The sequence below is a fragment of the Homo sapiens genome, chromosome 6 (assembly GCF_000001405.40).
Source record: "Homo sapiens chromosome 6, GRCh38.p14 Primary Assembly".
Lineage (NCBI taxonomy): Eukaryota > Metazoa > Chordata > Mammalia > Primates > Hominidae > Homo > Homo sapiens.
The window spans coordinates 117,571,538-117,595,728 of NC_000006.12; the positions used below are offsets into that span (position 1 = coordinate 117,571,538).

General features: G+C 37.4%; 1 protein-coding gene across 2 annotated transcripts in view, besides 1 other annotated feature; it reads right to left on the bottom strand.

The window, feature by feature from the left end:
- Nucleotides 1–24,191, bottom strand: part of GOPC (golgi associated PDZ and coiled-coil motif containing) — a 42,243-nt gene that overhangs the window by 11,269 nt on the left and 6,783 nt on the right. The window contains exons 2-5 of one of the 2 annotated variants that reach the window (NM_020399.4): nucleotides 7,363–7,527; nucleotides 5,911–5,934; nucleotides 3,640–3,815; nucleotides 1,930–2,095 (exon numbers count right to left, since the gene is read on the bottom strand). In NM_020399.4, coding sequence (NP_065132.1) covers nucleotides 1,930–2,095; nucleotides 3,640–3,815; nucleotides 5,911–5,934; nucleotides 7,363–7,527 — 531 coding nt within the window. The remainder of the gene's footprint in view (nucleotides 1–1,929; nucleotides 2,096–3,639; nucleotides 3,816–5,910; nucleotides 5,935–7,362; nucleotides 7,528–24,191) is intronic. The other variant, NM_001017408.3, reaches the window with a different exon arrangement.
- Nucleotides 23,569–23,863: an enhancer, noted in NCBI's record as "tiled region #12404; K562 Activating DNase matched - State 5:Enh". NCBI's record gives its function as "activates a minimal TATA promoter and a strong SV40 promoter by Sharpr-MPRA in K562 cells {active_cell/tissue: K562}" and the evidence as "EXISTENCE:reporter gene assay evidence [ECO:0000049][PMID:27701403]".

Here is a 24,191-nt window from a genome sequence, read left to right on the forward strand (position 1 = left end):
AAATGCAAAACAAAACAAAAAACCTTTCAATCCTTCACTATCTTCCTTAGCAACTACCATCCTCCCCCTTTCCTTAACCTCTACACGAAGTTCATCCTCATCATATCTACTTCCTTGCCACTCACATTCAGTCCTCTGGTCTCTGTAATTAGAGTTTTGCCCCTACATGCACAACTGGAATTTTCTTTTCTGTGGTCACCAGTAATCAATATTGTTACACACAATTAACACTTTTTGTCACTATCCTACTTCAAACTTGCAGAAAGTTGATACTGTTCATCAACCCCTCCTTGAAACCCACTCTCTCTGTTAGTTTTTATTACACTACTTTCCTAGATGGCCTGTATCTGACAGCTCCATCCCAGGCTCCTTCCTTTAGTGATCCTTTTCCTTCTCCCACTCCATAAGTTTCTATCCTTGGCCTCCTATTCTTTTTACTACATATATACTTTATATATACATATATACTTGGAACAGGCTTAATGAGTTCCAAGGTTTCAAGTATAATAGAAGGATAGTTTCCCTAATATTTCTTCAAAACAGATTTCTCTTCTGAAATCCAGAGTCATATGTCCAGTTGGATGTATCTTGGATACCCCATTGTCACCTCAAACACTACTTGTCTAAAACTGATCTCATCATCTTTTCCCCAAATCCTTCCTTTTCTTCTATTTCCCTTCCCAGTGAATGCCAGATCTCACTCAGTTGCTCAAACTAAAAGCCCAGACTCTTCTTTTTCACTATTTAACCAAAAGCAGTTAGTCACCAATCAAGCCCTCCTGATTATAATCCTCTCAAATCTATCCTTCTTCTCAAATGCCACTTCTCCTGACCTCATCACTTTCTCCTTGGATGACCATAGTATCTTTCTAATATATCTCCTTGACTCCAACTTGGTCCTCTTCACTATACCAAAATAACTATTAAAAAATGTAAATTTTATGAAGTCTGCCATTTTATTTAAAACTTCCATGATTATCAGGTTAAAGTTAAAATTCCTCTATTTAGTATAAAATAATTTCTATAATCCAGCCACTACCTAAAACCCCAACCTCATATTTAGCTAATTTAACAAGCATGCTTTTATCACTCAGACACATCTGATACAAACTACTTTGTCTTCCTCCTAACCGCTCCATTTCCCAAATCTACTGGACCTAGAAGTTAATGGGAACCACCAGTGCCCTAGAAAACAATGGCATAAGTGCTTATCGCTATCCCCACTTCTCTTCCACCAACTCTATTTACATACCAATTCTTCTTACAAAAATCTTTGCAGAGCCAACAAACTATTTTACTATTTAAGGCCATACATTATCTGGTACTAAGATATGTGAACCCTTGGGAGACATGCTTTCATATATTAAGGTCTATATTATCAAGCAGCTGTTATGATAAAATTCAATAAAGATTTATCCAGATAGAAGCTTTTATATAATGGTGGCTACAGAAGCAGACAACTGGCTACAGATCTCAAATTCTATCTTAATCCAAGACCAAACAGGTGTAAATGTTAGTTCAGAATCTACATTTGGATTCAGTTACTAAAAGTTCCCTTAAAGAACTACCCCAAAATATCTGCCAAATTATCAATATGACCACACACTCTAAGCTAAGATTAAAACAAATTCAAGCATGCCCAATCATGATCCAGGAAAAACTGGAAATATGATCCAACATTATAGCAATATGCATTTGCTAACAATGGCTCACTGTCTGCAGCACTCTCAGGGCATTAGTAAGTCTGTGAAGAGCTACTAAAATTTCTATGGGTGTTGAAACTTCATCTACTTTGAATAAGTTGAATCCCATTTTCACTTTTAAATAAAGGTTTCAAACAATACTAGAATAAAGGAAAGAATGGAAAGCAACTGTGATTAAAGAAAGAAAGAAGAGGCTGGGTGGGAAGCAGCAGCAAAGCAAACATACATGGCCTGGTGGTGCTTGCATTGGTCGTTTCAAGTCATTACGTCCTCTGCAGGCTCGGATCACAGTTTTGTGACGATGCAAATGTATTTCAGCTTCTAATTGGTTCCAAAGCTTATCATGAGCAGGTCCCTTCATATCTCGTCCTAGCAATTGTATCTGTTGGACCCTTCATATTGGGAAAAGAGTACATTGATTTTTCATTATATTCACTACAGTGAGAATTCAGGAAAATTAGTGAACATAAGTAGCTTTTGCATGAATCTCAAATTAGTGATAAAACTAATACTCACGAACTTCTTGATGTCTCTCAGATATAAAAAAAATATGAAAACTCTGAAAAGAACAGGTATCCTCAAGGGAAAAACCAGTAAAAAAAATTTTTAAAGGAATTAATGTGAACTCCTTTAGTCATATACTTAATTCAAATAAATCTAAAAAAAAATTTATGAGATTAATGTCAATCTATGTCTTGCATGCAAAGTCACTGAACTCAGATACTATTAAATGTTAGCTTTTAGATGAGATAAATGGACAAAAATATTTCTTCTAATTAGAGTTTCTTTTCACAAAATGATTACTTTAAATGTGGTTAAAAGTTACTAGAACCAGCCAGGGCAACAAGGCAAAACCTTAACAATTAACCAGGCATGGTGGCATGCCTGTGGTCTCAGCTACTTGGAAGGCTGAGGTGGGAGGATCACTTGAGCCTGAAAGGTGGACGCTGCAGTGAGCCAACGTTGCACCACTGCACTCCATCCTGAGCGACAGAGTGAGACCCCATCTCACAAAATTTAAAAAAAAAAAAAAGTTACTAGAAAATTTGTACTTCAAGATGATATAAATTATTTTTTCTTTGTTCCATGTTTTTAATGTGACATTAAAAGAATATGCACAAAATGATTTAGTACTAATAAGTCACCAAAGTTTGTTAATAATTTACTTAATAAATACAGCAGAATTCTGTGTATGATTATGATAAAATCATTGTCATTAACTAAATACCAACACGTTTTTTTGAAGGGCAAGAAAGACTGGGTTTCAGTGATCATAAAAAGAATTCCTTATGGAAGTTCTGCTATGCATGTGAATATCGGCTGTACTGGTCTCAAGGCACAAAATAGTTGAAAAGTGCTGCTCTACAGAGTTGTTAGCATTTCACAGTAAGATACTATCAGTGTTTGTGTGTGTAAACTAAACATATTTAGTATGGATAACTAGATCTGCGATACATAATGCTGTCAGTATTAATTTAACAACAGTAAGTTAAAACCAACTGTAAAATAATTCTGAGGAAAAAGATTAATGCTTCATTTACCATAAGAAAAAAGAGTAGGCCAGGTGCGGTGGCTCACACCTGTAATCCCAGCACTTTGGGAGGCCAAGGTGGATGGATCACAAGGTCAGGAGTTTGAGACCAGCCTGGCCAACATGGTGAAACCCCATCTCTACTAAAAATACAAAATTTAGCTGGCCGTGGTGGCAGGCACCTGTAATCCCAGCTACTCAGGAGGCTGAGGTAGGAGAATCGCTTGAACCCAGGAGGCAGAGGTTGCAGTGAGCAGAGATCATGCCACTGCACTCCAGCCTGGGCAACAGAGCAAGACTCCATCTCAAAAAAATAAAAAATAAAAAAAGAAAGAAGTAAGAGTCAACCTCATTAAATATCCAATTTGTCACTTAAGAGTACAATAATACCCATTTTTTACACACCTTCCTGCCAGTTCCTTATCCAAGTACTTGGCAGCTAGTCTCGCCCCATATACTTCAGCCTGGAGAACAGCTATATGTCTACGAAGGGCTTCATTCTCTTTTCTCAACAATTTCACTTCAGCTTCAAGTTGTGCTTCTTTCATTTTTTCTTTTTTGTTTGCCTCAAGCTCTCTTTCCTATGTAATTTTTAAAAGCATATAATTTAATGAAAATAAAAACTCTTTAGCACTAGACCATGTTCCTGAAAATGCACAAAAGCCTACAGTTCAACAATGTATCATCTCTATAAAATGGAACACAAAGATCTGGATGTAGTTCTTTTGAACTAGTACCATAACATCTTGGAACTACTTCTAGATAAAATAATTGCACGCCATGGGTTACCCTGATATGGAGTATAGTAAGAAAAGTAGTCTACTCTAAGCTCATGTTATCACATATTAGTAAAAGTGGCTTCAATGGATAGTTGAATCTGCTATTTACTTCTAAAACCCTTTTGAGAGTTAAATAAGGACCCCAATAGACATTTTAACTGTTATTTATAGATCAAAAAAACCACGTAAACACTGAAAACTTGCATTTATCCTGAGCAGAACTGCTTTTACAGAATCCACAAATCCTATGAAAACATGGTTACATTTGTTCACAATATGTGGAAGACATTATTCCCTATACCCCCTTTGTCCCTTTTGTGAGGACGTAAATAAAAACCTACCTTAGCACCAGAGAAATTGTTTCTCTTGAGGAAATGATGAATAGTATTGTTTCTATTGTATGGGCACTGATTATTTTACATAATTATTTCCCTTTTTATTCTGGATATTGAGAAGCTAAGAAACAAATTTAAGCAAATTTTCAGCAATTCATGGAATATATTTTGGTACTAATTTAATGTGCCTCCTTTGGTCTACTGTTTTGAACAACATCAAAATAGATATATTTGAATACTAGTCAATAAATACGATAATCCTAAAAAAAATATATTTACATATACACACACACATACAAGCTAAAATTAATGACAACTACTAAATGCTAGATATATTTATCACTTCTTTGATTAAAAATATTTGTTATATATATGACAAACAGATGAAAGATTAGCAGACTCAATTTCTGGGAAAAAAAAGATTAGAACGTAATTTCTAGATACTGGTTTTAAAGGATTCGAAAAACTCAATCTAGAATCCTCCTTTTAACATAATTTTGGAATTATTAAACTCTTATTTCAGAACCTATGTCCTAAAAGGGCAAGTATCTGTTTCAAAAGAAACCAGTTTGGAGATACAAACAAAAATCTTTCTTATGACATGTTAAAGTTGATGCAACTTTTGAAAGAGCACTCCTAGACCAAGATTTCTTTGGCTTATGGGCTAAATAAACTTTATGTTGATGATTACCTACTTTCAATTACTTTAATGAGCTATTTATACTACATTAATGAAATGTGGGAGACATACTAAGCTACCACTCACTGGGGTTTTAATGATTCAAATCCCTAATGAATCTGACAAACTCTTGGGCCCGAAATTAACAGAGGTAAGCAAGAATAAGATGAAGGAAACTGAAGTTAACCATTTCTAGATTTCCAGAAAAAAATTTTCTTGGTTCTTAGTTAACCTGTTTGTTACTAGGTAACACCCAAGATGTTCATTTTACATTTAGATACCAAAGATTATATCTTCAAAAGAGGTAAAGCCATAAGACAAATTGGAACTTGATTAGGTTGGGGTAATGAGAAAAATATTAAAAATGTATTGTTATTTTCTAAAATAACTTCTGCTAAAGCATTTCAAAATTCAATTGTTTCAAAGGCCATACGATTATTCTCAAGACTCTTGAAAAGTTGTAACGCAGTAGATGAAGAAGAAACCAACATGCACATTCTTTTCTGGAAATAATTTCAAACAGAAACTTAAGGGGGTTAAAAACTAAGCCTGCTTGATATATCTTCAATACCCTGAAGTGGGAAAACCAATTGCTCTTTGAAGTAGAGGTATGAGCAAGCTACAAGGCTCAAAAATTGTCAAAAATTGACAGGCTCTGCAAATAATGGCTATAAATCACTAACAAAAGAAAAATGTTTAACAACATGCAGTGAGAAAAGAGCAATGGGCCATCCACTGAACTTTTCAGGTACTGGAACATTAAAAAATTGCCATTATTAATGCTATTTTCAAATACAATGAGTGACAACATATAATATGCAAATAAAACACTAAGAACACTTCAGCGTGACATATTAAAGCAAAACAGAAACAATATACTTACCAGCTCCTCCACAGAGGGGCCAGACTTCAGATATAAGAAAAAAGTTTTATAATTAGAAAAAGATCAAACAAATGATTTTATTTAGTGGTATAGTCATTATAAGGAAAAATCCCACATGTTGGATATCATTTGGGTAAAGTTCATTAGAACAAATATATTTGCAATCTATAAACAATAGTAACTGTAATAGCATTAGATTAAAACTTTTTGTTTTATCAAAATTAGTCAACATAACTGGTACAGTGTTCTTTTCATCATACTCTTTCAAATTCTAATGTTAAAACTTCAGGTAAATTCTTTTCTAGAGAAAATTTAGATTGTTTCTGAATGTTAATGTCAAATAGCTCGAAGAAGCAGTTATGAGCTTTTATTTCAGTTAAATAAAACCCTTCTAACACAGATTCACAGAGTTAGAAAACTTAAGAGTTTAACTTAAAATTATTTTCATGAATTTTAACACATCAGTACTAGGAACTAATTAACCAAATGAAATTAACTGAAAACAAATAAAACTTATAAATGTATTACTCTCATTATATCATCAACATCATTTCATGTCCTGCCTCTGCCAAGCAATAGCTGTCTTATTTATTGCTGTGTCCCATATAGGAACAAAATATCTGCTATCTCTTACACACTCAAAACATATGTGGTACACAGTGGCAGGAAAAATGCTTACAATATATTAAGAGCAAAAGAAAAGAATGTGCTACTGGTTGGTACCCAATTCCATTTCTTACTTCTTCCTTATTAACAGACTCCAGTTTTACTGGAAGTGGCCATATGGCCAATAGGAGACTGACATGCAGCTGGGGATGGTCAATGAAATGCTGGCAAAAATTACTGAGAAAGATTTAATAATAAGTTCTTTAAAGAAGGCTAACATCATGGAGAAGCATCTTTTTGCCCTTTCCTTAGATTAATCCTTCTTCCTGCCTGAAATGCAGACATGAAGAAATCCTGAGGATGGAAACCATAAGCTAAAAATGGCAGAGCACAGTGATGGAAGGAATCTGGATCTCTAATATTTGTGGAGCTGCCGTATCAACTCTAGACTGCCGGTCTCAGATTTCATTTCAGAGAAAAATAAGTACTGTTCAAGAATAATCCCAATGTTACTTGGGATTTCTGTTATATGCAACTGAATTTAATCCAACTGATACAGTAGGGCAAAAAAAAATCTTATATGTTATAATCACAAATATCTTTTAAACATATTTATACATATATTTTAAATAGGAAAAATTCTATCAGTTGATTGTTGATATCACTGATTATCTATAGGTGATGAGATTGTAGATTATCATAATGATCATAAACTTTATATTTCTTATATTTTCTAAATTTCCCACAATAAGCACATATATTTTATAATTTAAAAGTCTCATTCAAAATTGTCCTGTACACCCTGTAAAATACATGCAAGGGCATGTCACTCTCTAAACTACTTACCAATTTTGCCTTAATGGTACCAGAGTCAGCACTTTGACCAGTTTTAGCATGAAGCTGCAGCTGAATAGAGTGCAGCTGTAAAAGCTGATCATGTACTTCTTTCTCCAAAACAACTTTCTCTGCTTGGGTTTCTGTCAGTTCAGATTTCAGATCCACCAACTGTGCCTTATAAAGAAAACAATAGAAGAAATTAAGGATGCTTAATTTTCTTTCTTTTGACTAATAATTGTTATTCAAGAATGACAACAGAGAGACTACCTTTGAAATAAATACACAAACATTAGAATAATATTATCCAAGATACAAGACATCCATCTAAACTGACAGAAAATCAATAGTATAAGTCAGATATTTCGGTAGCAAGAGAAATCCACTATAAGCTGTATCTTCTAATAACACAGAATGCTACTTCCATTTTACTTTGCTTACTTTAAGAAACCTTTTTACTGTTTCACCTTTATCTTCAAAGCTTATGAAAACACAAAACTATGAGGTGGTTCACCATGTGGTAGAGACAATGTGTGCTGTGGTGGATCACTAACATTAACAGTATTAGAGAAGATGTCAGTAAGTGAGTTGTGTTCTGTCTTCAATCCAACGAATACTAGCCCAAATCATCCCAATCATTATCTAGTAAAGTTATTTTAGGTGCTAAGGTATCAACTTCTGAGACTATGGTAAGCCTAAAGATCAGAGTTAACTGTAAGTCTTCAGCTTTAGCATAGCAGAGCAACTCATCAGGACCACTTACCAATTCAGTCTGAAGTTTTCATTTTTGTACAATTGATACATTGTTTTACAATTGTGCACAGGATGTGTCCCTTGTGTTTTTGGTTTTCCCAGCTAGCCAGTAGATTAAAGATCAAGACATGCCTTTGTTTCCTATTCAACTCAACATAATTTTGCTAAGCATCTAAGGGCCCAGAACTATGCCAGCACAATGAGAAAAAAAATTGTAGATAATATTTTTAAAAATCATAGATCATAATTTATGCCCTTGACAAGCTTTCATATCAACTGGGTTGATAAATACACATGTGGACCAACTAAAATAATGTGGCAAGTTATATACAGAGAGAGAACTGACCCAGTCCCAAGGAATTCAAACTAAAGGAAGGCTTAAAGAAGGGAAGTAAGAAAAAGATTCATACTGAAAGTGAGTTTAGAAGGGCTTTGAAGGAAAACAACAACATGGACAAAATAGAAGCAGTAATGAAATATAGACATGGGAAGACTAGCAAAGGCAAAGTGGCAGAGAGACTAAAAGCCTCTCTGAGCATAGATAGGGATCAGATAATTGGGATATGTCTCTATATCCCAACTGCACCAACCAGTGCCTAGTGCATAAAAGATGCTCAAATTTAAGTATCTGTAAAGTTGAAATAAATTCTAATACTAGCCCTGTGATTCTCAATAAAACATTCTGTCTCAAGTTCCCTCAGTTTAAAACAGTGATAATATCCATGGCTTTGACTATTCTCATAAGATTATTAATCTTATATACAAAAGAACTTATTAGACTAGGAAAATGTTATTATCGAGGAGACTAAACTACCTCAAGGGATGGTATACTGACAGACTGGATATGACCCGATAGGAGAAATGAAGCTGAATACAATGAATGGCTTTGGATGATAAACTAAAACTGATATTCAATCTAACAGGAAATCATTCTATGCCCTAAGTGACATTTTTTGTTTTTATTTTTAATAACACCTTTATTGAGATATAATTCAATATCATAAAATTCACTCTTTTAAAGTAAATAATATAGTGGTTTTTAGTATATTCATGAAGTTGTACAACCATAGTTACTACATAATTTTGAAGCATTTTCTCTCAATGGCATTTTAGCAACACTATTAAGGAAATGAAGACAAGGACACAGTAGCAACGTCCTATTTGTAGCTTATCAAATGACATGTTATCATGGTAACTTTGTAAATGAAAATAAAGGATTTTACAATGCTGAAAAGAAATCGTTAGCAATACTTAGTTACAGTGTATCTAGTACAGTGGATGTGCAATGGAAGATTAGGTCAAGAATAATGCAAGTATTTCCAGTTTTGAGAATAATGAAGCCATTGATGGAAACAGTAAGATTAGGATGACAGCTTATATAGACATGAGAGAAAGAAAAAGATAAATTTAAGTTTTAGGCATGCTGATTTTGTGTCAACCATGATATAATCAACAGGAAATATTCCACAGAATGTAGGAAATAAAGAAAATAAATAAGTGAAAAGGTAGGATCTGGATTAACACTAGGAGCACAGAGATGTGAATTCATATCCTATGAGTTACAGGGAGAACAGAGTATCAAGGTCTGGGATGGCCCAAGAGGTAGAAGAAAAGAAGTAGCATGCTATAAATTAACCAAGATGTGGCATAATATAAATAGTGGGCTGCCTCTTGCTTTTTTACTTCCTGGAGATCACTCCCTATTAATAAAACTTCTTCATTCCTTTTTTTTAAATAACTTTTTAATTCATATATAAACATATCAGGGAAGTACACAAGTAACACATTACAAAAAATACCTATTTAACTATCACTCAGATCTTGAAAAAAAAAAAAAGGGCAGTGCTAGCACCCCAGGATCCTTCTTTTGACCCGCTCCAATCACTACCTCCACCTTCATCCACAAAGGTAACCATCAGAGTATACACTGACTTCTAACACCATAAATAGTTTTGCCTATTTTTGAATGTTTGAGTATGCTTATAAGATTTGTTCATAGCTTGTTTTGCATAGCTGCACTTCATTTTCAGCAATATTGTATTCACTAAATAAATATATAACATTACTATTTTTCATTCATTCTACTTTCCCTCAACTTAATTCTACTTCTCATTCTATTTCATTCTACTTTGGATGGGCATTTGTGTTGTTTTGAATTTCTGACTATTAAAATGATGTTGCTATGAATCTATCTTTTGATACATATTGCATATATTTCTCTTGAGTATATATCTAGGAGGGAAGCTTCTGGGTTACAGAGTATGTACGTTAGACTTCAGGAGAAAAGGTCACTTTTCCAAGTGATTGTAGCAACTGACATACCCACCATGTATAAGAACTTTGAGAGCATCATATCCTTGCCTTCACTTGGCATTGTCAGTATTTTTCATTTTAGCAATTCTGGTAGGGATGCAGTGGTATATTGTTGTGGTTTTAATTAAAATTTCCTCATTGCTAATAAGGTTTAACTGCCTTTTCATATGTTTATTGACCATTTGAATACCCTCTTTTGTGAAGTACCTGTGTTAGTCTCTTGCCTATTTTTCTAGAGAGTTGTCCATATTTTTCTTGGTGGTTTGTAAGTTCTCTCTCTCTCTCTCACTCTCTCCCTCCCTCCCTCTGCCTCCCCCCCTACACACACACACACACACACACACACACACACACACATTGATAGAGGCAGGAGGCAGAGAAATTCTAGGCAGATGGGGGTGTGTCCTCGGCAAAACCCCATCTTCAAGCCTAAAAGCTGAAGCCCAAAGTGAGAACTTCCATCCCTGTGTGCCCACTCTCTCCCGACTGGTTCTTTCTGAAAAAGGTCTTTTTACCAATCAAATGTTGTTTTTTCTAAAACTACCTATGGCCTGCCCTGCCCCCCATCCTGTGCCAGTAAAGACCCCAGACTCAGCCAGTAGAGAGGAGAAGCAGCTGGACTTCGGGCACAGGCATCATGACTTCAGAGATGGTAGCTGGACATCGGAGAGAGGCAACTTGACTTCAGGGGAGAGTGACATGCCCTTCCCATCCCCTTTCCAGCTCCCCTCTCTGCTGAGAGCCACTTTCATCACTCAATAAAATTCTCTGCATTCACCATCCTTCAATTCATGGATGAAGGATGGTCAATGCAGAGAATTTTATTGAGTGAATGAAAGTGGCTCTCAGCATGAATTCACATTACCTCATTCTTCGTGGGCACCAGACAAGAATTCGGGACCCACCAAGTGCAGGTACCCAAAAAGGCTATCACACTGGCCCTCTGCCCTTACTGGTGGAGGGCAGCTGCCCCCAAAAAGGCAAAAGGTGCAGTGAGCTGATAATACACTTCTGTCCAGCAGAGCTAAGAGAACCTTGTAACATGCCCTCTGGAGCCTTGGGATCGCAGGCACCCAGACCTGGATGCTGCCACAGGGCCTGCATGGAGTTTGCTCCTGCAGGTACTAAAGCAGCTGGCCAGTTCCTACACCTGCTTGCCTACACACTCCCTCCCATGAGGGGTGGAGTGCAGCAGACCCAAGTGAACCAAGTTTGCTCCTGCCAGTGCCAAAGCAGCCAGCCAGTTCTCATACTCGTTTGCTCGTGTGCTCCCACCTGCCAGGAGTTGAGCAGGGTGGGCTGAGTAAACAGGGCACCCCTGTCGTGAGTACCATGAAGGTGTCAAGAAAATATCCTGCATCAATATGAACTCCTTTATTGGGTGTGAGTTACAAATACCTTCTCCCATCCTGTGGCTTCTTTTCACTTTATAAATGTGTATTTCAATGAACAGAGTGCTTAATTTTAATGCAGCTCATTACGTTAATAGTTTCCTCCCCAACACTAAATGCTTTTTTGGCATGAGTTCTACCTTATCTGGTATCAAGTTTGCAACTCCTGTCTCATTTTGTTTGCAATTTACTCAGTATAATTTTGTCTGATCTTTTGTTTTTAGCCTTTCATCCTATTTGTCATGTTATATTTGTATATAACATAATACACATGTAAAGTCGTCATCGCTCTCTTTGGTGGCTTTAAAAATGTACCTTTTTTTAATCTTCTGGAAGCTCTGTATCTTTGCTCTAATGATTACTGTGACATTATATCCTAATTTCCTCTTTTGACTGTATTTTAAGGTATTATCTTTAAGGTATTATCCCTTCTATGAGAACTCATGAAATTAGCTAGTTGACATCTCACTTCCCTCACTCTTCTCAAACATTTAACAAAGTGTTATCCTTCTATTCCCAGCTAATAACTATGAGTGATCATCAAGCTTATTTCACATTTTCAGAATACTCTTCTCCCATTTTGAGAATTGAAAACAAAATCTATATTGCAGCACATATAGCATTCAATATTATTCCATCATCTTTAACTCCAATAGTCTTTGTTCTGCTATTAAATATATTCTATTCTCAGTACCAGACCTTTAATCAAAGCTACTCCAATGATTTCAGCTCATTCCCAGGAATAGATTTATCAGAAAGGTTTCTTTGGATTAGTGGGAAAACAACCACAACCTCAAAGTGTTTTTCCTATTCTCTCATTCCACAATAATCATCACAGAAACTTCTGTGACCAAATGTGGGGGATTTCACCCCACCAACAAACAAGCAATCAATTTTGCAGCAGACATCAGTTGGGTGTCCTCCAATTCAATTTTGACACTATCTACCTGGAGATACTGTCAGATCCCACAGATTGAGGGCTCTGTCCTACAAGACTGCCCCATTCTTTTCAGACACTAGTTGCAAGTCTATGCTTCCAGAACTTCTGACTGAATGGCTTCAAGTTGGGGTTCCCACATTTCCCTTTTTAGGTTCAATTAGTTTGCTGCAGCAGCTCACAGAACTCATGGAAGCACATTTACCATTTTATTATGAAGGATGTTACAAAGGATACTGATAAAGAGATGCACAGAATAAGGACTGGGGTAAGGGACACAGAGCCTCCATGCCTTCCCTGGGGGCACCAGCCTCCATGAACTTCCATGTGTTCATCTATCCAGAAGCTCTCCTAACCCTGTCCTTTTAGGTTTTTATGGAGGCTTCACTACACAGGTGATATAGTTTGGATGCCCGTCCCCTCCAAATCTCATGTTGAAATGTGATTCCCAATGTTAGAGATGGGGCCTGGTGAGAAGTGACTGGATGGATCATGGGGCAAATTCCTCATGAATGGTTTAGCACCATCCCCTTGGTGGTAACTGAATTCTCACTCAGTTCATACGAGATCTGGTTGTTGGAAAGTCTGTGACCTCCCCCACCTTACTCTTGCTTCTTTACTTGCATGTGATCCATCTGCTCCTGCCTTCGCCTTCCACTATGACTGTAGGCTCACTGAGGACCTCACCAGAAGATGCTGGCATCATGCTGCCTGTACAGCCTGCAGAACTGTGAGTCAACTAAAATTTTTATAAATTATCCCCATTTGATATTTCTTTATAGTGACACAAAAACAAATTAACATAAGAGGCATAACTGGTTTAAATACTGGCTACTGGTGATCAACTTAATTCTAAGCCTCCTTCACTCTCTGGAGGTCAGGCACCAAAATCAAAGTAATTTTTTTATTCACAGTTTCCTATTAATCCACTTGCCTAAACTTTAATCCTCTACCTGTATTATTTTCTAAGAATACACAACAACTACACAATTTTCATTTTAAATATAAGCAGGTTTTTATTTTTTTAACTGTCTTATGGATAAATACTCCAATTATTTTACCTTAAGCACCCCTCAAAAGCCTCATGTTTTGAAGGAGGAGCAAACTAAGCCAAGAAATTTGTGAACATCAAGTTGCACAGCATGAAAATTGGATGCAGCTCAATCATTACTTTTAGCATGCCATAGAGCTCTTTTGATAAAGTTTTAGAAGGTCCAAGCTAACAACCTAAAACATCTTTATTTTACACATGAAGAAACTGAGACCTAAGAGATTATGTGAGATGCCCCAAATTACAAATTGCATGGTATTAAAACTCAGACCTCCTCCTGACATCCTTTGTAATTCTGGCAATAATAGAAAAAATGGGGAAGATGTAGTCCATGAGCTCCAAATGACAGCATATTCCCCAAATATCAGAACTAGACAAAGCTTTAACTAAACAGCAGATTCTGAACCCCATACACACACCCCATACCCATACACATGCACAAAGACAGGCACTGGTACTTGTGAGCATACACAGGTATGAATACACAGACACACCTGTAGGCATGCAAACAGGAACAGATGCAGGTACAGATATGCAAGCAAACAAAGCACACATTCCCCAAGTTGTTTAGGAATTATGAAGAAAATAGTTGACTCCACATGGCAATTTAACTATAATGAACTATAGCACAAAAAGCTGCTGATAAAGGTGTAAATATTATGTCACATCTACCTATAATTGCTTCTACACCTTTTGTTTTAAAGTTTGTGTACAAAAAGTAATCACTTCACCTTTTAAATATCTGTATTCTCTTTATGTTTTAAAATGTTAATTTAGGATGAAAGTACAGATTGGAATGTAAATCTCTAGCAATTATACCATTTAGTGTCAATATCCCAAATTTATCATAGACATCCATCTACTTTTCAAAAGGCTTTAAACCTCATATAGTCAAAAAAACAAAAATGTAAAAAATAAAAATCATATAGAGATGGCAGGATAACACTATAAAAAATACTAATGTATTAGTTATTGAGTACTATATTAAATTTAATATAGTAAATTGAGCTTCCAATTAATAAGAGAATCTTTACAGATTATGCAAATCCCCTTTTCTCATTAGAGGAGGCAATTCCATTTTATCTGGCAAAACTGTCTTTTTTCCTGGAACTAAACTTTTAAAAGAATGCATCACAGAGATTCTTTTTTTTTTTTTTTTTTTTTTTGAGATGGAGTCTCGCTGTGTCACCCAAGCTGGAGTGCAGTGGCGTGATCTTGGCTCACTGCAAGCTCCACCTCCCAGGTTCACGCCATTCTCTTGCCTCAGCCTCCCAAGTTAGCTGGGACTACAGGTGCCCACCACCACTCCCAGCTAATTTTTTGTATTTTTAGTAGAGACGGGGTTTCACTGTGTTAGCCAGGATGGTCTCGATCTCCTGACCTCGTGATCCGCCCGCCTCAGCCTCCCAAAGTGCTAGGAACAGAGATTCTTACATAAAAGATCCTAAGCTACCTGACAGACAACAGAGGCAGAACCATTCTTCATAAGACCTTTTCTCTTGTGACAAAAGTCAAGAAGAAAATGTAACTAATGAAAGCCATTTTGATCCATTCCTTTTCTTGTACACCTTCAAAATATCATTTAACTCATTCACTTTATTATAAAAAATCTCCCTCTATTTTTTCTTTCTTCTATGTGCCTGAGGTGGTCAAAATCACAGAAATCTAATGAGTCTTACTCTAAAACACAAGACTATGACCAAACAGAAAATATATTCAAAGGTCAAATTGAAAATCTCTGCCATCCCTCAAGATAGGAAATAATACTCCTCCTTACTTCAGGTCAGCTCTTGAAGCAGTTATCTGGTCTATGAAAGTTCTGTGAGAAAGCTGTATCTGTTCACTCTATTTTTTTTCCATCCAACCATAATGACCACTAAGTTCATCTGCCATTAGTTCTCCCCCAAAAAATAACATTCTACAGTCTAGACAAGCAAATGTAATCCTCATAATATACTCTGAGAGACGCACTTTTTATCCAGATATGACAACTGAAGTACATAGAGGTTAGGTAACTTCACCATGGTCATTAAAAAGCCAGTAAACCAGGCATACATAACTACTAGAGAAGCTAAGGCAGGAGGATCACTTGAGCCCAGAGTTTGAGGCCAGTCTGGGCAACACAGCAAAACCCCCATTTCTTAAAAAAACCAACCCCCCAAACAGTAATAAATAAATAAATAAATTTATATATATATATAAAACTACAAATTGTAATGAGCTGTATGAAAGAAACTAAGAGAATTAGCAGAGTGGAAGTGTATGGCTATTCTTCTGGGAAGAGTTTTGATTATTACTAAAGCAGCAGGTCCCAAGGTCTATGGGACATTTTCAGGGGATCTGAAAGGTCAAAACTATTTTCATTATAATAAAACATTATTTGTCTTTTTCACTATGTTGACATACTGAAGGTACAAAAGTAATGATGAGTAAAATGTTGGGATTTTAGTACAAGTCAATGCAGTGGCACCAAGCTCCATCAGTAGTCATTGTAGTCTTTGCTGCTATGCACTTGTAGTTTTTGTCACTGTTGATGTTTTGTTTTACTTTTTTTTTTTTGAGACAAGGTCTCACTGTGTTGTCCAAGCTGGGCTGCAGTGGCATGATCACAGCTCACTGGGGACTTGGAACTCCTGAGTAGAAATAATCCTCCCACCTCAGCCTCCTGGGTAGCTAGGACTACATAAGCACATGGTCATTTTTAAATTTTTTTGTATTTTTTGTATTTATTTAAAAATAGGTCTCACTATGTTGCTCAGGCTAGTCTTGAACTCCTAGTCTAAAGTGATGCTCTCACCTTGGCCTCTGTATTAGTCTTCACTGCTATAAAGAAATACCTGGGACTGGGTAATTTATAAATATTATTATTATAAACAAAAGAGGTTTAAATGCCTCACGGTTCCACAAGCTGTACAGAAAGCATGGCTGGGGAGGCCTCAGCAAACTTTTTTTTTTTGAGACATTGTCTCACTCTGTCACCCAGGCCAGGCTGGAGTGTAGTGGCATGATCTTGGCTCACTGCAACCTCCACGTCCCAGGTTCAAGAGATTCTCCTGCCTCAGCCTCCTGAGTAGCTGGGATTACCACTGCCCGCCACCACGCCCAGCTAATTTTTGTATTTTTAGTAGAGATGGGGTTTCACCATGTTGGCCAGACTGGTTTTGAACTCCTGACCTCAAGTGATCTGCCCGCCTCAGCCTCCCAAAGTGCAAGGATTACAGGCGTGAGTTATCCTCTATTAAGCCAGGAATTTAAAGGTTTGAAAAAATATAAAACAATGCTATTCTTCTAAAACATTTTTTGGTTTTAGAAAATATAATTACATTTTAATTTAAAATCATTTATATTAACATGTAATGAGTTTATTGTAGTTATTTTTAAATGATGTAATAAAGTTTTCTCAGTTTAATTTCTAATACAATAAATTCTACATTTATACTTTTTTTATATTTTATATTTTTATATATTTATACATATAACCCACATTAAAAAAAAAAAGAGCTCTTTGGGGTTCTCAAAATTTGTAAGAATGCAAAGGACTCCAGAAACCAAAAAGTCTGAGAACCTTGACTTAGACCTTCTGAAAAAAGGCTCATGTGGCTCCACCATATAGAGTAGGGGTAGGCAATCTTTTGGCTTCCCTGGGCCACACTGGGAGAATTGTCTTGGGCCACGCACAAAATACACTAACACTAATGATAGCTGTGAGCTAAAATTAAAAAGAAAAAACAAATCACGCAAAAAAATCTCATAATGTTTTAAGAAAGTGTACGAATTTGTGTTGGGCTGCATCCAAAGCTGTTCTGGGCCACATGCAGCCCACAGGCTGCGGGTTAGACAAGCTTGAGATAGAGTAAGAGGAAAGAATGGTAAGATACATCATAGGAGGGATACCCAAATGTCAGATCATGCAGAGCCTGTCTGCCAAAATTAAGAGCTTGAATTTTATTCAAAAAGCAATTGATGAATTTATGTTTTCTTATTTTTTATTTATTTATTTTGTTGAGATGGAGTTTCACTCTTGTTGCCCAGGCTGGAGTGCAATGGTGCAATCTCGGCTCACTGCAACCTCCACCTCCCGGGTTCAAGTGATTCTCCTGCCTCAGCCTCCCCAGGAGCTGGGATTACAGGCATGTACCACCATTCCTGGCAAATATTTTATTTTTAGTAGAGATGGGGTTTCACCATGTTGGTCAGGCTGGTCTTGAACTCTTGACCTCAGGTGATAACGCCCACCTCAGCTTCCCAAAGTGTTGGGATTACAGGCGTGAGCCACTGCGCCCAGCCCTAATGTTTTTTTTTTAAAAGGCAGCTATGTGTAATATGAGAGACAACATGAATGAACTGAGTTGGGGGATGTGAAATGGAAACCAGTTGATAAATCTGACAAGTAATTTGCCGTAAACCTCAAATGAAGATCCAATCAATAAAAAATGTTTCCATTTTAATTTCAAAGCACTCAGTTGCTCCATGATCAAACTGGAGATGGGGTGGGGAGGAGAATCAACCTACTCAATATTTTAGGAATATCACAAGTACTAAATCCATACTCAATATTCTTATTTCATGATGTTTAAAGTTATTTTCAATCAGTTTCAATTTTTTCCCAAAATAAGATACCATGAAATATTAACTCACAAATTATATGCTTGTGAATTACATACCAGAGGAATAAATGAACCTGAAGATCAGTCTTTCAGCAATGGAGCAGGCACTGTATACATGAATATAGAGTCAACAAGACAGATACCATCCTAGCTCTCATGAAGCTTATATTACAGAATGATTGTGGGTAATCTTTGAAGATTTATAGCAGAACACCAGATGCGTTTCAAAAAATTCATTCATTCAAATAAACATTGAGTACTCACTGTGTACCACAATCTGGGGACAAAAAGATGAATAAGACATGGATTCTAGAAGTTTTCTATTAGGAAAAGATAAGAATGTATTTCCAGGCTGGGCATGGTGGCTCACAACTTAATCCCAGCACTTTGGGAGCCCAAGGCGGGTGGATTGCTTGAGCTTAGGAGATCGAGACCAGCCTGGGCAACATAGTGAGACCCTGTCTCTACAAAAATTACCAAGAATTAGCTGGGCGTGGTGGTATATGGCTGTAGTCCCAGCTACTCAGGAGGCTGAGGTCAGAGGATCACTTGAGCCCGGGAGGTCGAGGCTGCAGTAAGCCATGATCGTGTCACTACACTCCAGCCTGGGCAACAGAGTGGGACCCTGTCTCAAAAAAAAAAAAAAAAAAAAAAGATAAAAAGATTACATTTCCAATTGTGATGCAACGTGTGGTAAGCACTATTTGAAAGACGTGTGATGTACCAATTCAAAAAGAGGTAAGGGGAGGTAGTCAGAAAGAAGTTCTCTGAGCTTTGAATGGAGATCTGCTAATACAGGGAGTGGAAAGGGAAAGGTGAGATATGAAAACACCTGACAGGTGAAACAGGGAATAACTAGATCAAAATGATTGGTATTTAACACATCAGTTCCAAATTTTGTTTTGTTTTGTTTTGTTTTGTTTTGTTTTTTGAGAAGGAGTCTCACGCCGTTGCCCAGGCTGGAGTGCAGTGGCATGATCCCAGCTCAATGCAACCTCCACCTCCCAGGTTCAAGCGATTCTCCTGCCTCAGCCTCCCGAGTAGCTGGGATTACAGGCATGCGCCACCACACCCAGCTAATTTTGTATATTTAGTAGAGATGGGGTTTCCCCATGTTAGCCAGGCTGATCTCAAACTCCTGACCTCAGGTGATCTGCCCACCTCAGTCTCCCAAAGTGCTGGGATTACAGGCGTGAACCACCACACCCGGCCCCAAATGTCCAATTTTAAAAAGGGGCCAAATACCAATTCTGTAATCCTTATATAAACCAATCTGATATCTATACCAAAGGAAGTACTCAGCAATGTGGTTTGGGAGCATGGAAGCAAAGAATACAAAAAACAAACAAAAAGCTCCTAGAAACCAAAATAAGTTCACAAAAAGATAATGCTGCCTTCTAAATCAGCTTCACAAAGCATTTGATGGTTCAAACTATTTCCCCTAAAACATGGTTCTGACCTTCAAACAGCTTACATTCTAGAGGTAGAAAGATGTGGTAAACGCTAATTATAGTACAATGTAACAAATCTAAAAGTACAAATAAGTTCAAGGGCTTAGGGCAGCCTCTGCCTATAAAGAGCAGAGAGGAGTGGAGTAAGGAAAGCCCTCTCTGAGACAATGACGTAAGTGGAGTCTTGAAAGATGAGTGTGTGTTTGATACTGTAGACAAAGGGTATAGAGAAGGCATTATACACCAAAGCCTATGTGAAAGTACAGGTGCCATAAAAGAGCAAGGCCTATTTACAGAACTGCAAATAGATCAGTTTTATTGAGGCAAAAGCAGCTAAGAAGGGGTGATAAGAGATAAGGAGAGACAGACAGGCACACTGATCACCGGGCCAAAGAATTTGAATTTTAGAGAGATACAGAAAGAAGAATGACAGAATTAGGTTTGTCTTTTTAAATACAAACCACTAGTATGAATCACTCTAGAATGATCAGGCAACCAAAGGATGGTTTGGAAGGAATAATGATTAGGAGACTATGTTAGGAACACCCGAGAAGAATAAGGACCTTAATTATGCAAAATATCCTAATCTTATCTCATTATCTTTCCCAGACCTGCTCCTCCTTTTCCTGTATTCCTTACTTCAGTAAATAGTAATGTATAAACTTCCTAGGGCTGTTACAAAAAATTAGCACAAGGCTGGGCACGGTGGCTCACGCCTGTAATCCCAGCACTTTGGGAGGCCAAGGCGGGAGGATCACTTGAAGTCAGGAGTTCGAGACGAACCTGGCCAACATGGTGAAACCTTGTCTCTACTAAAAATATAAAAATTAGCCGGGCATGGTGGCTGGCGCCTGCAATCCCAGCTGCTCAGGAGGCTGAGGCAGGAGAATTGCTTGAACCCAGGAGGCAGAGGTTGCAGTGAGCCGAGATTGTGCCACTGCACTCCAGCATGGGCAACAGAGTGAGACTCTGTCAAAAAAAAAAAATTACCACAAACGTGGTGGCTTAAAACAACAACATAAGTTTATTCTTTCACATTTCAGGATGCCCCAAGTTTGAAATAAGGTATGACAGGGCTGGCTCTTTCTGGAGATCCTGTGCCTCTCTCCCAGCTTTTGGTGCTGTTGGCAATCACTGGCATCCCTTGGCTTGTAGATACATCACTCCAATCTCTGCTTCTATCATCACATAGCCTTCTTCTCTGTGTCTGTGTGTGGCCTTTTCTGTCTCCTATCAGCACACTTTCATTGGATTTAGGGCCCCCTCTAATCCACTATAATCTTACCTCCATCTTTACATAATTACACCTGCAAAGACCCTCTTTCTAAATAAGGTCACATTCTGAGGTTTTGGGGGTGGATATGAATTTTGGAGGGATACGATTCAACCCACTACAGATACTGATCAATCATTTCCCAAACAGAAATGCAGTGTTATCCTTAACCCTTTCTCTTATCTCCTGCATCTACATAATTATCAAATCCTGTCAATTCTCCTTCCTTAGTCTTCAATTTATCTCCTTTTCATCAGCCCCATTACCACTTTCACTTCAATAACACACTTGTCTGTATAACAAACTCCTTTGCTATAACATTGAATAAACCTAGTTATTACTCTCATTACTGTGCCTGTACCTAAACAGATATGCATTGCTAGAGAAAATCACACAACAGTACAGACCGGTTGCACCATAATTTATGATAACTAACCCCAAGCCATTCCTCAACAATGCCTGGCAGTCCTGTTTCTCTGGCCAATTGGCTCTCCCACTCTTCCATTACTATCTCAAACCTCTTCTACTAGCCTCATGCTCTTACTCTCACCTACTTTTAGCAACTGACGTGGGCTCCTATTTTACAGAAAAAAAAAAGCCATCAGACAGAAACTTCCACAACCTCCTACTGTCTGCTCCCATTCTCTCCCTCTTCTAAGTAGCTGTTATTACAAAATCTTACTAATATTAACTACCCCACTCTTTTTCTATATTTGGCTTTTCTCTCAAGTAGATGCTTCTCACAGACTTATGTTTTATTTGTTTTTATTTAAAAACAAAATGAAAACAAAACCTCCCTTGTACCCTACAATCTCACTTCTTGCTATCTATTCAGCCACACTCACTCTTTCTGTCTGCTTCTCTCTCCACCTCCTCCATCCCCCATCAGACATAATGTGTTTGTGCAGAGACTGATTTCTCTAGCTCCGTAGCCTCAGGCCTCTTACTTAATCCCTGTAAAGTTGGAGTAACTATACTAATAAACCTGTTTCCAGGACTGTTGTGAGAATTGGATGAATCAGTCTATGTAAAAGACTCAGAAGAGAGGTTGGCCCATGGTAACTGATCAATAAAGTTGGCAATATTGTTATTGCTAATAATATAACACATTCATCTATCTATTCAGGCAACCAGCTGCACAAGATTGTCACTTGGATTTATCCTGAACTCCCTCATCCCTCTGTTCCAATCCATCTCTAGGTTTTTTTTATTTTTACCTCTCCAGTTTCTCTTGTTCTGAATACCTTCTCCTACCTCTATTATCTTACTCCACACTATCATAATCTCACATAAACAGAAACCTTCTAAACAATTTTCTGCATTCATTCATGTCATTCTCTGCAATTTTCTCCATACCATAGTCAGAGTGAACTATTCTAACTTCATATCTGAGGCTACGAACTGGTTTAAAAGACTTCCCACGATTATGATAAAGCCCCAAATATTTTTGCATGGCCATAAAGTCATGTAGAAATAGTCCCTCTCTGTCTGTTCAAACTTATCTTGTGCCTTGCTTCTTTTGCCCTCTTCTCTTGTTACACATACCAACTATCTCTCGAATCTTCAAATGCACTATGCGCTTGCCCACCACAGGTGCTTTTCACTTCCCATTCCCTCTACGGCAATGTTGAATGGCATTCCTATTTCTCTTAGCTTAATTCATTCCTATTTACACATAATTCCTTTATGTCTTAGCTCAATAACTTCCTCAGGGAAGCCTTCTCTGACATCCCAAAATAGGGTCTCATTTACTCTTATGTACCTTTCATAGTATTCATCAAAGTTGCAATTTCTCATTTACATGATTATTCTCCCAACAAATTCCTCCAATATAATCCAAACTCCATAAAAGCCATGACTACATCCCTTTTTTGCTCTCCATTGTATCCTAAGTGCCCAATACAGCATCTGGCACATAATTCGTGTTCATAAGTGCGTACTGGATCAATATTAAACTTAAGCTTCAATGTTGCAAAACAGCCTATTTAAAAACAGGACAGATTTAAAGCAGCAAAGGGACAAGCATATCACCAGTTCATTATCAATGTGGCTCTAGATCAAAGTTAAAAGTTTCTCTACTGTTGGCTATGAATAATAAATCACTTCAAAGAGATACTAACAGAGCAATTGCTGAGGGAAAGGAGGATGTGAAAGAAGGTGTATTGTTGTGCTGTTACTTTAAAAAAGGAGTAACAGGCAGAACACTCTTTCAAGGCAGAGGTGAATTTTTTAAAGTATTGGTTCACAATCTTTATTCTATTCCAACACACCTACTACTGCTAGTATTACTATTCCTACTGTAAACCTAAAAGGAAAAGGCTGAGGCACAAAATATACTTTAGTTTACCTGAGCCAAAATGAGGACAGCTACTCAACACATATTTCCCAGATGCCTGGGGAGTGCTCTGGCACCTGAGTTACAAGCAGATTTTAAAGGGAAAAAGGAACAAGGCAGATACAAAGTTGCTTGATAAGAATTCTCATTGGTTTACAATCACTGATTAGTGACTGGCTATTCATTGTTGCACTATAAGGTATGACTTATGGTGTCCAGCATATGGTATTTTATGGCTACTTGGCGTCAGTTAGTCTAAATCCTACATAGAAGGTGGCTTCCAGAGATAACTGCTTAGGTCAAAAGGGAGTGCCATAACTGCGGTTTCATTCCAATGCCTCTCTAGGCCTCACAATGGAAAGGAACTCAGTTGTGTTTTGTTTTGTTTGTTTGGGTTTTGTTTTGTTTTTTCAATAGGTTTCTGGGGAACAGGTGGGGTTTGGTTATGTGAATAAGTTATTTAGTGGTGATTTCTGAGATTCTGGTGCACCCATCACCTGAGCAGTGTACACTGTATCCAATGTGTCATCTTTTATCCCTCATCCCCTTCCCACCCTTTACTCCAGATCCCCAAAGTCCATTGTATCATTCATATGCCTTTGCATCCTCCTAGCTTAGCTCCCATGTATGAGTGAGAACATACATTTTGTTTTCCACTCCTGAGTTACTTCATTTAGATAATGGTCTCCAATCAATTCCACCCAGGTTGCTGCAAGTGCCACTATTTCAT